A 13,509-nucleotide genomic window follows, 5' to 3' on the forward strand; every position below is an offset into this window, starting at 1 on the left:
GAGTTGTAGGTTAAGCTTATTTTTTTATTCAGCTCATGGATGTCCAGTTGTTCTAGTATAAGTTATTGAAAAGTGTGTCCTTTCTGCATTGAATTGCTTTTCCACTTTTGCCAAAAATCAGTTGGACATATTCAGGCCGGGCACAGTGGCTCATGCCTGTAATCTCAGCACTTTGGGAGGCTAAGGTGGGCAGATCACCTGAGGTCAGGAGTTCGAGACCAGCCTGGCCAACATGGCAAAACCCTATCTACTAAAAATATAACAATTAGCCAGGAGTGATGGTTCATGCCTGTAATCTCATCTACTCGGGAGGCTGAGGCAGGAGAATCACTTGAACCCGGGAGGCAGAGGTTGCAGTGAGCTGAGATCGTACCACTGTACTGCAGCCTGGGTGACAGAGTGACCCTCTGTCTCAAAAAAAAAAAAAAAAAATTGGACATATTTGTGTGGTTTATTTCTGGGTTCTCTTTTCTGTTCAGTTCACTTATGGGACTCTCCTTCTGCCATTACCACAATGTTTTGATTACTGCTGCTATATAGTAAGTCTTAACATTGGGTAGAGTGATTCCTTACACTTACTGTTCTATTTCAAAATGGTTTTAGTGATTTTTTTTCTTTCTACATAAATTTTAGAATAAGCTTTTTTATATCTACAAAAAGTCTTGCTGGGATTTTGATAGGAATTACATTAAACCTATAAAGAAATATGAGATAAAGGAAAAACTAAACTTTTACCTACTCTCAAACTCACCACAACACAGGACCCTTCTGACACCACATTTATGGGTTTTTTTTCCCTGTACACCAAACAGCAGACAGAAGCTGGGTGCCTTATAATTTAACTCAACTCCTATACTGCATGCCTGGAATAAGCATCAGATCCCATAGGCTAAGGCCCTGTCCCATAAGATTGCCCCTACTTTAGATCCAGTTTCAGTCCTAGCTGGTTTTACCTGTTCTTTTGACTGACCAGCTATAAATTGGATACAGATGAACCACCAGGTGGAGAAGCACATAGGATGAGGCAGGTGGGAAGGAGTGTGGAGCTTCACCCGCTCTGGGCTCACTATCCTCCAGGTACCTGCATGTGGTCAGGATCCTGGAAGCTCTCTGAACCCTGTACTTCACTGATTTTCATGGCAGCTTTATCACATAGGCATGATCCCCTTCCCAGAGGATTGGAGGGTGAGGTGGAAAGTTCCAATTTTCTAATCATGGCTTGGTCTTTCTGGTGCACAGCCTCCATACAGGAGCCCAGTTAACATTCCCTTTGTTAGAACAGAAGGCATGTCTATCACCCAATAAATTCTAATGGATTGGGAGCTCTGTGTCAAGAACTAGGATGAAGACCAAAAAATATATATTTTTATTATAAATCACGATATCACAATAAGTTTTGAGGAGAAATGGCTTTTTTTTTCTATTTGATTCTTCTGACCCATGAAAATAGTGTGTCTCTGCATTTATGTAGATTTTTAATTCTTTTCATCAGCATGTTGTAATTTTTAGCATACATATCTTGTATGTGTTTTGCTGCATTTCTGTCTCTAAGTATTTTATCTTTTTGTATTTTCATGCTGCTTGCCAGGAACAGTCTCAGTCCCTCAGCGCTGGTAATTTATTTCAAGTGGGGTTGAAATTTAAGAGGTCAGATAGAAAAAAGAAATGAGATGAAACTTTTTTTTTTGCAACTTTAAATGATGTTGTATTTTAAATTTTAGTTTTTACATGTTTGTTGCTACTAGTATATAGAAATATGGTTGGTTTTCGTGTGCCGATCTTGTATCCGGTGAGTTTGCTGAACTCATTTAGGAGTTTTTCTTGTAGATTGAGCATTTCTACATAGGCAATCATGTCATTTTCAAATAGGACAGTTTTATTTTTTCCAATCTATATATTCCTTTTCTATCATTTTCTTTCTTTATTGCTCTGGCTAGGATTTAATTAAACACTGAATTTTTATTCTGGTAGTGCTGACTTCAGGAGCCTAATTTGGGACTAGCAAATGCTAGTTTTACTCACCTTATCATTACAGTTTCAGATCTTCGGCTTCTCTTGGGCTTCAGAAGTTTAACTTGGATTGATCTTGAATATTGATCTTGAATATGCTGAAGGCAGGAAAAGCTCTGTCCTGAGTGTATACACAGTGCAATATAATTTTTATTTATTTGCCTCCCTTGAGTGTGAGCTTCTTGAAGAAGACAGTTCTGAAGATACAGGGCTTGGTACACAGCAAACTTGTAATTAATGTTTGAGGTCAGGCATGGGTGGCTCACATCCGTAATCCAATGCTTTGGGAGGCTGAGGTGGGGGGATTGCTTGAGGCCAGGAGTTCAAGACCAGCCTGGGCAACCTAGCAATATCCCGTATCTAAAAATAATAACAGTTACAATTGTTTGTTGAGCAAATATTTAAATGAATAAATGGAACTAATATGTGGCTTCTTCTCATATAAGAAGTCTAGGGAAAACCTTTTCAGACAAGGTATAGTGTAACTCAGGTTGAAATGACAAATGTGAGACTATTTGCAGTCACACACGCAGTTGCACATGTGATTTTGACATCAAACATTTTTGTTTATTTTTGTTTACTTGCATGCCTTGTAAGTTTCATGTTTTACTAACAAGACACTTTATTCTTTGAGTGTTACATGTCGTTTGGTTTGGCTTGCTTCTGTATGTTAAAAAAACGTTCTGTCTTTTGAAAAGATACCATTATCTAATTGGTTTTAAGTTAGGAGAATTCTAAATTACAGGGCACAGTAAAATAAATGAGCAATTATACCGAGGAAGAGCAAAACAAACAAAAAAGAATCATGGAACCATGTTTTGTATATACGTGGGGAGAAGTTATCCTTTAGATCTGTTTTTTTTTTTTATGTGAGTATGCTTGAATGTATATGTCATGAGGGTAGTGGGCTGGGCTGAGCTGGGGAGGAGATGTGCATCATATGTAGGGAGTAGACTTAAGCTAGTTATTTTTAAATAATACTTTAGCAAGGGAATTAGTACTTGTTTAAGTGTTCATATTGCCTTAATATTAGCATAGCTTTTTCATCAATATGTTCAGTATCTCAAACGTCAAATTTGCATGAAAATATTCTCCCAAACCCCTAATCCTTCCCTGTTTTATTTTTCTTCATTGCATTTATTATCTTCTAACATACTGTATATTTTATGTATTCATTTTTTGTTTAATGCCTGTCTACATCCACTTGAATGTAAGCTTTAAGAGGTCAGGGATTTTTATCTATTTCTATTAACAGTTGTATAGCTAGGCCCATGATATCATCTGGTACATAGAGAATACTTAATTTGTAAATCAATGAAAGGAAGACTACTTTGAAAAGAGTGATTTCTAGGATATTGGAATGAGGAATCTTAATCATAAGCCTATGTAAATGATAAAATATTATCCCTATGGAATAGCAGGAAAGTCATTGTCCTTTTACCCTGAGGAGCATATTTGTCCTCTATAAAAAGGCCTTTCTATTTGGAAGGAATTTTACTTGATTGATTGACTCTCTGTTTAAGCAACAAATGAAAAAGAATCCTTTGTTGAGAAGCTACCACAGACTGTAAAGTTTCCAGGTTCTGTACTTTGTGCTGGATGGGGCACCACTGTGATGGGCCTGATGAGTCTCTGAGACTGCTGCAGGACTTGGATTTTGTAACTAAAGTTAGTTCTTATTTTTATACTTTAAGTTCTAGGGTACATGTGCACAATGTGCAGGTTTGTTACATATGTATACATGTGCCATGTTGGTGTGCTGCACCCATTAACTTGTCATTTACATTAGGTATATCTCCTAATGCTATCCCTCTCCCCTCCCCCGACTCCATGACAGGCCCCAGTGTGTGATGTTCCCCTTCCTGTGTCCAAGTGTTCTCATTGTTCATTTCCTACCTATGAGTGAGAACATGCGGTGTTTTTTTTTTTTTTTTTTTTTTTGTCCTTGCGATAGTTTGCTAAGGATGATGGTTTCCAGCTTCATCCATGTCCCTACAAAGGACATGAACATATCCTTTTTTATGGCTGCATAGTATTCCATGGTGTATATGTGCCACGTTTTCTTAATTCAGTCTATCATTGATGGACATTTGGGTTGGTTCCAAGTCTTTGCTATTGTGAATAGTGCCGCAATAAACATACGTGTGTATGTGTCTTTATAGCAGCATGATTTATAATCCTTTGGGTATATACCCAGTAATGGGATTACTGGGTCAAATGGTATTTCTAGTTCTGCATCCTTGAGGAATTGCCACACTGTCTTCCACAATGGTTGAACTAGTTTACAGTCCCACCAACAGTGTAAAAGTGTTCCTATTTCTCCATATCCTCTCCAGCACCTGTTGTTTCCTGACTTTTTAATGATTGCCATTCTAACTGAAATGAGATGGTATCTCATTGTGGTTTTGATTTGCATTTCTCTGATGGCCAGTGATGATGAGCATTTTTTCATGTGTCTGTTGGCTGCATAAATGTCTTCTTTTGAGAAGTGTCTGTTCATATCCTTTGCCCACTTTGTGATGGGGTTGTTTGTTTTTTTCTTGTAAATTTGTTTGAGTTCTTTGTAGATTCTGGATATTAGCCCTTCGTCAGATGAGTAGATTGCAAAAATTTTCCCCCATTCTGTAGGTTGCCTGTTCACTCTGATGGTAGTTTCTTTTGCTGTGCAGAAGCTCTTTAGTTTAATAAGATCCCATTTGTCAATTTTGGGTTTTGTTGCCATTGCTTTTGGTGTTTTAGACATGAAGTCCTTGCCCATGCCTATGTCCTGAATGGTATTGCCTAGGTTTTCTTCTAGGGTTTTTATGGTTTTAGGTCTAACATTTAAGTCTTTAATCCATCTTGAATTAATTTTTGTATAAGGTGTAAGGAAGGGATCCAGTTTCAGCTTTCTACATATGGCTAGCCAGTTTTCCCAGCACCATTTATTAAATAGGGAATCCTTTCCCCATTGTTTTTGTCATGTTTGTCAAAGATCAGATGGTTGTAGATGTGTGGTATTATTTCTGAGGGCTCTGTTCTGTTCCATTGGTCTATATCTCTGTTTTGGTACCAGTACCATGCTGTTTTGGTTACTGTAGCCTTGTAGTATAGTTTGAAGTCAGGTAGCATAATGCCTCCAGCTTTGTTCTTTTGGCTTAGGATTGTCTTGGCAATGCGGGCCCTTTTTTGGTTCCATATGAACTTTAAGGTAGTTTTTTCCAATTCTGTGAAGAAAGTCATTGGTATCTCGGCTCACTGCAACCTCCGCCTCCTGGGTTCAAGTGATTCAGCTGTCTCAGCCTGATGAGTAGCTGGGACTACAGGCACAAAAAGTGCCATCACACCCAGCTAATTGTTGTATTTTTAATAGAGATGTGGTTTCACCATGTTGGCCAGGCTAGTCTCAAACTCCTGGCCTCAAGTGATCCGCCAGCCTTTGCTTCCCAAAGTGCTGGGATTACAGGCATGAGCCACCACGCCTGGCCCTTGAGCTGGGTTTTGAAGAATGAATAGGAGTTTACTAGGTAAGAGCTGAAGTAGGGAACCTCTCCAGTAGGTGGGAACATGTGCCAAGGCATGAAGCAGTGAAACAAAGTGGTGCGTGCAAGAGAAGTACTCATAATTTGTTGTGGCCAGACACAACATGAGAGGGAGAAAATCAAGATGAGCTGATCAGGGAGGCCTAAAGTTAATTTTTTCATTGTGCTTATCTTGGCTTGCTTACCATGTAAAGAACCTTATAGCTTTCCACATGGGGTTAGTTATATTTTATTCACTTACTGATAAATAAAAGGATAATTTATGTTGAGGAAATGTTTAGATGCAGCCTATTCTGAGAATTTATGTATTTACTTTTATTTCTGCAAGGTGTTTGACTTTTTATCTAGTCATTGGCTGATAGTCCTCTCAATACTAATAACATAGTAGAGAAGATGATGAAAATGTTTTATTCATCTGTTCTTGGACAAGAAACCCTGCTCTTTCTGTTCTTTTTAGTTGAAGCTGAATAAAGCTGAATGTTCTAGTCGGAAGCATGGGTTCAAGTTTCTACTACACTGTTTCTGAGCAGGTTACGTCTCCTTCCTGGGTCTTAATTTCTCCAGTTGTAAAATAGGGGATTTGAGGTAAATTAGCATATCCACATTGATAAAAATTTATCTGGGCTGGGCGGGGTGGCTCATGCCTGCAATCCTGAGGTGGCGGGATGCTGAGATGGGCAGATTACTTGAGGCCAGGAGTTTGTGACAAGCGTGGCCAACATGGTAAACCCCTGTCTCTACTAAAAATACACACACACACACACACACACACACACACAAATTAGCCAGGAGTGGTGGCGGGCACCTGTAATCCCAGCTACTCGGGAGGCTGAGGCAGGAGAATCACTTGAACCTGGGAGACAGAGGTTGGAGTGAGCCAAGATCATGCCACTGCACTCCAGCCTGGGTGACAGAGTGAGAATCTGTCTCAAAAAAAAAAAAAAAAAATTTATGTGAAGCAAGAATCAATACATATATGACCCATTAGGGTAATTTTTCTTGGCAGTCCTTCCCTTCCTGGCTGCTGTTTACCAACTTAATTATTCTTCCTGTTTCATGTTAGATTCTATAATCCAGTATACATCTTACTACTCTTGGCCGGGCGCAGTGGCTGATGCCTGTAATCCCAGCACTTTGGGAGGCCAAGGCAGGCGGATCACCTGAGGTCAGAAGTTTGAGACCAGCCTGGCCAACATGGTGAAACCCCATCTCTACTAAAAATACAAAAATTAGCCAAGCGTAGTGGCGGGTGCCTGTAATCCCAGCTACTCAGGAGGCTGAGGCAGGAGAATCACTTGAACCTGGGAGGCAGAGGTTGTAGTGAGCCGAGATCATGCCATTGCACTGCAGCCTGGGCGACAAGAGCGAAACTCCGTCTCCAAAAAAAAAAATCTTACTACTCCTCTCAACTCCTGCTATTATCTTTGTTATTTTCAGCAACCATGTAGATGAATCCATCCAATAATATCCTGGCATAGTTGTTGACCTCATTATCATTTCTAGTCCACTTAGCTCTCTGCCTTGTCATACCTCTGAAATGTTCCTTCACTAAAATCGTAACTCTAGGTAACCTCCTCACTACAACCTGATAATTTTTTTAGCTTCCCCATTTAATTATTCTTAAAGTATACCAGTTCTCAGACTTACCAGCACCTCTATTAAATCTTTTCTTCCTGTCTTTTCGTCTTTACTTTCCTCCTCTTTTAGCTTAGATTCCATTGTTACTCTCTCTATTCCATGTCATAAATTGTTTGCCCCATTTTTGGTCAATTTATCTGGTAAAGCTGTTTAGTAAAACTTTGCCTTTGCATTACTGTAGTCTACTGAAGAAAGCCACACAACGGAGCAGATTGGTGGGACTGTAAAATGATGATGAATGATGTAGGTCAGTCCTTAACGCTGCTTACCAATTCTACTTTTTGTTCAGCGTATTTTCTTGTTCTCTGTATTATCTCTCAATTTTTTTTTTTTTTTACTCATCTCAAATTTGGAATTTCCTTGCTCTGCTGATTTCCTTTTTATTTCATGGAGAAAATAGCTATAATGTGGAAGCTTCTTTAGCTTCTTTACCACTAAAGTTACAAATATTTTGTTACCTGTACCTGCTTTTTCCTTTTCATCTGTTGTGGTGGAAGAAATATTCCTTCTATCACTGTTTATGCTCTCAATCCCCTTCCTTCCTTTTCATCTTTTGTGGTGGAAGAAATATTCCTTCTATCACTGTTTATGCTCTCAATCCCCTCCCTTCCTTTTCAAGAATAACTTTTTTTTTGAGAACTTTGGCTGCAGAGAGTATGGAGAGTTAAATGCAAGCTGGAAGAGTTGTCTAGATTCACTGTCTTTATTTCCTCATCTCCTACCCACTGGAGTTGGGCTTTTGCTCCTACCACTCCTCCACTCCTGAAATTGTTCCTACAAAGGGTACCAGTTGACTTCAAGTCAGTTAAATTGGATGACATTCTTTAATGATGGGCCTCCAGGCAGCATTTGTTCAGCAGTCCCTGACTATCTTTTCTTGGCTTCTTTAATAGCATTTGCAGTCTTGATTTCCTTCCACCTCTCTGGTTACTCTTCTTCTGTTTCCTACAGTTTAATCAGTTACTACAAATATTACTGTAACATAAACAAATAAAGGTTTATTATCTTACAGAGAAGAATGCAAAATTTGCATAAATTTTGAGAACCAAACAGGCTTTAAGGAAACCAGGTTGTGGCAGGAAATTTTGAGCAGGTTACACACTACTCTGTGAGAGATACTGAAAAAAGTTGTGAATCATTCATACATGTTTCATAAATGATTCCTTTCAACAACCTTATAAGGTAGATGGTTGTATTCTTGTTTATCCACAAAGGATTTGAGGTGGGGAAAGATGGGGTATGTTCAGGAAACTGTGCCTTGTTCTTTCCAATTGGAAGGTTAAGTTACAATAAGGTACTACTGAAGATAAAATCTGTTGTTTCCATGATATGGCGTGTCTTGAATGCCAAGGGGAGACGTTTTTTACTTAATTTTTTAGATAGTGAGGACTGAAGATTTTTTTTTTTTTTTTTTAACCTTGAGTGGCTGGAGTGCAGTGGCACGATCTCAGCTCTGCAACCTCTGCCTCTTGGGTTTGAATGATTTTTCTGCCTCAGCCTCCCAAGTAGTTGGGATTACAGCTGCCTGCCATCATGCCTGGCTAATTTTTGTATTTTTAGTAGAAACACGGTTTTGCCTTGTTGGCCAGGCTGGTCTCGAACTCCTGACCTCAGATGATCCACTTGCCTCGGCCTCCCAAAGTGCTGGGTGAGCCACTGCACCTGGCCAGGTTGAAGATTTTTAAGCTGTGTACAACGTTTTGGGAAAGGAAACCTGTCTTGGTGAAAGGTTGATAATCCCATAACGTTAGTTTTAGTGACCAAATGGCACTTCCACTTGAAGCCTTTTTGTAGGCTTTCCACTATAATGAATTGAGCCTTCTTTGACACTCCCATAGCACTTTGTCATACCTTTTAGCACACTTCTCATGTGTCATAATTACTTGTTTGTATTTGGCTTCCCCATTGGATTTTAGCTCTTCTAGAATAGGATTATTAGTTTATGGTTAATGTTGATTTTGGTAATCTTTCCTCATCCCTATCTCAGTGGTTGGCAAAATAAATGGTTCTTGAATTAGTAAATGAATAAAGAGTTTGAATTTTGAATCTTTTGTCTGAATAGCTTCTCAGAATGCATCTTTTTTATATTTTTACTGATTACCGGGTTGAATAAATTAGAAGCCACTCCTACTTCCTCTCTGCTGATACATATGTTTTAGCTAGTTAAACCTATTTTGATAGAGGAGTTCTATGACTTTAAAGGCCTATGACTTTGCAGACACTCATACAGTGTACAGCATACCCTATGCAAATCAGCTGTCTGTTCAGGTCTTGTGTTTGTTTTCCCCATAGACATAATCCAGCCGTTAGTTATTCAAAGCAGCAGATGGGAGAAGGAATCCGTGGAAATGTGGATTTATTAGCTCTCACAATGAAAGACCACACTGGTTATGCTAAGGATTAGAAGATTTCTGCTGAATGAAAGGGACATGGATCCTGTTTTTTGTGCTATTTTCAGCAGTGTGGCAATTTCTTATGACTATAATCAGTTGTAAAAAGACCAGAAAATGATCTTGTAAATAGACTTTCCTTCAAGCCCTAGACTGTTGGTTGCAGCTGTCATAATTATAGGAGGGACTGCTTTTCTTCCTTTTTGGGTGCAGACTGAATCTGGCCTTTAGCTATTGCTATATTTACACCTTAGGTAGTATAACTGGCTGATTGTGTGCTTTATACATACCTTTATCTGTCAAATTAGGGAATTTGGATTCGTGTCTCCTGAATTTTGTAGGAGAGTAATTATTGTAGCATGTCTTATAGTTTGGAAAAAATGATTGAATTTAATGTGTTAAACTCACTTCCTAAAAATATAATGCTGCCTTCACTAACAATTTTGTGTGTGTGACTTGTTAGAAAGATCAGCAACTTTCCTTTGTGTTTACTAAGATTCTGACAATTACCATAAAGTTGGAAAGTTTAAACGTTGCTTATGGAGTGTGTAAGGAACAGAATCATATCATGAGAACAATCTTTCACTCTTAAAATCTAAAAGATTATGTATTTTGAGCCATGAATTAAGAAACAGAAGCATCTTTAAACTTGGCTGAAGTTCTACTTTAAAAATGGCAGCCAGTAACCAAAGAAACAATTCTTGAGATCATTAAAGCTTGGATAAAATGAGACTTTTTCATGCTGTGCCCTTTTAGAAGTCTGGGGGAATGGGGAGCGTTTCCTGTGACAGCACTGTAAGTGATAAACAGCTGAATGAATTTGTCCATGCTCAGAACTCACAACACGTGGACTAGCCCCCTCCTGCACATAAAAGAGCAGGGAAACCGACCTTAGCAATGATCTAGCTCCTGAAGAAAGAGGCTTTCGTTACTGTCCAAGAAGTGAAGACCAGTGAGTCTAGCGATAAAGAAACAAAAGAGCCCCTGACAGTATCGAAAGAATCTGACATTTGCTTTGTCTGTACAAAGGATGAAAGGAATTTTGCCGACTTAGTCAAAACAATAACTGGTTTTATATCATTTTGAGTCTAAAATACAGGCATCAGAATCGTATGTTTTTCTTTGTATTTCTGAAGAATTGTCATCTTTTTAAAAACGTATGTGGAGTGGTTTTGTTTCTGGAAAGGAAAACGTGACATGGATTTTATAAGCTTAGTAGCTGTAGGTGGAGACTCTTGTTTTGTTTGCTAAACCTTTTTAATAAGCAGCAAAGTCAGGATATCAAAGATTGGAATTTTTCCCCCGGAACCTTTTGTTCTTTTCTTAGTACTTCAAATAATTTCAACCAAAGGGGTATGCATGGAAAATGAAAACAAATATGAAGTCTTTCCGCTATTTGGCAGTGCTTCAGATGAGATGTATCTATACTTCTGTGAAGAAAGACGTGATTCTGATATGAGGCAGTGATTGTATACTTACGCTGGACAGAGGGATAACTGGTTTAGTGGAACAGTGGGTTAGTGGTGTGCTGAAAGGATTGTTTGCCTCTTTATCCAGCAGTAAGTAGGCACTAGTAGTTGACTGTCTGGGGAGTGGCTTTTTTTTGTCTGATATCTATTATGGATGATTCCAGTATTCTGAGAAGGAGAGGGTTACAGGTGAGTAAAAGAAAACCTTTTTCACTGATCTCCTTCCTTTTAATGTCTCTTGTAAATGTACTGAACAGATTGTTATAATGTATTTAATTCATTTGAGGTAGGAGGCAGAGTGGAGTGCAGCTAAGTTCCTCTTTATTCTTTGATGTATAGTTATAATTAGAGAACTTATCTAAAATCTTGCTATTTTGATAGAAAAATGCTGCTTGGGCTTATTTACACTGTATTTAGTGAGTAGAGCAACTAAATCAGACCTGTATGGGATACAAGCCTAATTTAGAACATTAGACATTACTGCTGACAGATTGTTTACGGTGAACATATTCTGTTCCTGACCACCATGCCTGATCTGCCCACCATTAAGTCACATGTATGGTAGTATATGCTTGATTCTATGCATAGTTTTAAGAACTTTTCTAAATTATCACTTGGCATATACACATTCCATCCACTTATCTATTGTCTGTCTGTGTTGTCTGTCCATCCATCCGTCTGTCTGTCTACCTACCTACCTACCTACCATCTTTTCCTTCTTAAATCATAGGTAGTTTGTTAGATGAAGAGGTATGTAAGATATAACAGTGAATGAAAATAGACTGATAGGCAACCTTCAACTGAGTTTTAATGAATATCCTTAGCACTAAAAGAATACATGCCAAATTTGATGATTATTTTTTTCATGCTTTGTAGATTATCTCATCTTAGTCTTGTTAGCAAAGAGCAAGCCAGCTTCTAGTCTATCACTAAATGTTTTTGAGAATTGACATAATGAAGATTCTAGTGTAAATCACTGAGCTAATCAATCAACCTGTGATGGTTTAGTCATGAAATGTAGCTATTTCTGTTGTTTTCATTTTGTTTATTTGACATTATTTATAAAGCACTTTTTTTGTACAAAATACCTAAGGATTTTAAAATTATCATGAATTAACATTATTTTAGTTTCTTTAAAGTTCTCAGGTAGAAAATGTATAGGATTAGTAAACTTAAAATATAAATTTAAACAAATTGTATTGTTTCTAGTTATTATATGTACTTCTTATTGATGGTGCTGTAAACATTCAGAGCCCGTAGGGAGAACCCACTGAATCTTTAGCAGTTGACCAGTATGACCTGGGCTTTAAAAGTCAATAACATAAACTCCAGCGCCTTATACTAATTTCTCCTGTTAGCACAGTTGATTCGATGAGATTTGTCCCTTGATTTCTTGGGGTTATTTTGAGTAGTATTTATTTAGTACTGTACTCAGATGACCTCTCATAAGTAGTGATGTATGTTCAAGCAGCTGCTAATTAAAAATGGCTGGCTCTGTAAGCCCATTTAGTTGCACTGCTTATTTATATCTTTATTTCTCTTTAGTTGCTAGGATTCAGAAAGGGAATCCTATTTGTTGAATGGGAAATATTTTCTGTTTTGTGTTAAATCATTCATTTTCTCCCTGATGCCTGAGTCAGTCTCTAGTATTTGCTACCTTGTTTACTGATGCCCTTCCTCTCGAGTCTTTGTTTCTATCTAGCAGGAGTTCTAAACTGCCAGATTACATAGCACTGGAAGATCTTTTCCTACAGCCTTATACTTATAAAAAATTTTTCCCCTATTTATTTTGTCTACTTTTTTTTTTTTGAGATGGAGTCTCACTCTGTCACCCAGGCTGGAGGTGCAGTGGCGTGATCTTGGCTCATTGCAACCTCTGCCTCCCAGGTTCAAGTGATTCTCCTGCCTCTGCCTCCGGAGTCGAGTAGCTGGGGCATTACAGGCATGTGCCACCACACCTGGCTAATTTTTTGTATTTTTAGTAGAGACGGTGTTTCACCATGTTGGCCAGCCGGGTCTCAAACTCCTGACCTCAGGTGATCCACCCGCCTCGGCCTCCCAATTGCTGGGATTGCAGATGTGAGCCACCGCACCCAGCCTATTTTGCCTATTTTTAAAAAATAAACTTTAAGGTTCATTCTCCAGAAGATTGCTTTGGAACATTCCAAAACAGAGCTAACGCTTGAAAAGCAGCAGTTTAGATTATTTGTTTTAAATAGTTACATTATAATATAAAGATTTAAAGGTAAGTTTTATTAATAGATTTATATAAATAAACACACAAAGGTAAAGTGTGCCTGGTGGTACAGGTAATCTACTGGGTAACCTCAGATTTGAAGGTGAAAATCCAAATAAATATTTGGCTTCGCTAATTGCTTTCTGGTGAAATAGATTTCCTAAAACTTTTCCAGAAGATCAGCTAAGACACAGCCTACTTTGATACCTCCAGGTTTTTCCGCAGAGTTTCTTGGGGAGGTAGCA

General features: G+C 38.3%; 1 protein-coding gene across 26 annotated transcripts in view; it reads left to right on the plus strand.

Moving 5' to 3' along the window:
* Positions 1–13,509, plus strand: part of MAST2 (microtubule associated serine/threonine kinase 2) — a 232,511-nt gene that overhangs the window by 50,311 nt on the left and 168,691 nt on the right. For 3 of the 26 annotated variants that reach the window (XM_017000752.2, NM_001324321.2, XM_017000755.2), the window contains exon 1: positions 10,456–11,217. The exons of the other annotated variants lie outside the window; for them this stretch is intronic. In XM_017000752.2, the coding sequence (XP_016856241.1) occupies positions 11,179–11,217 (39 nt within the window). In that variant the 5' untranslated portion in view covers positions 10,456–11,178. Of the gene's footprint in view, positions 1–10,455; positions 11,218–13,509 lie in introns of those variants that run through there. 26 annotated transcript variants of the gene reach the window in all.

This window comes from Homo sapiens, chromosome 1, assembly GCF_000001405.40.
Source record: "Homo sapiens chromosome 1, GRCh38.p14 Primary Assembly".
NCBI classification, from domain to species: Eukaryota; Metazoa; Chordata; class Mammalia; order Primates; family Hominidae; genus Homo; species Homo sapiens.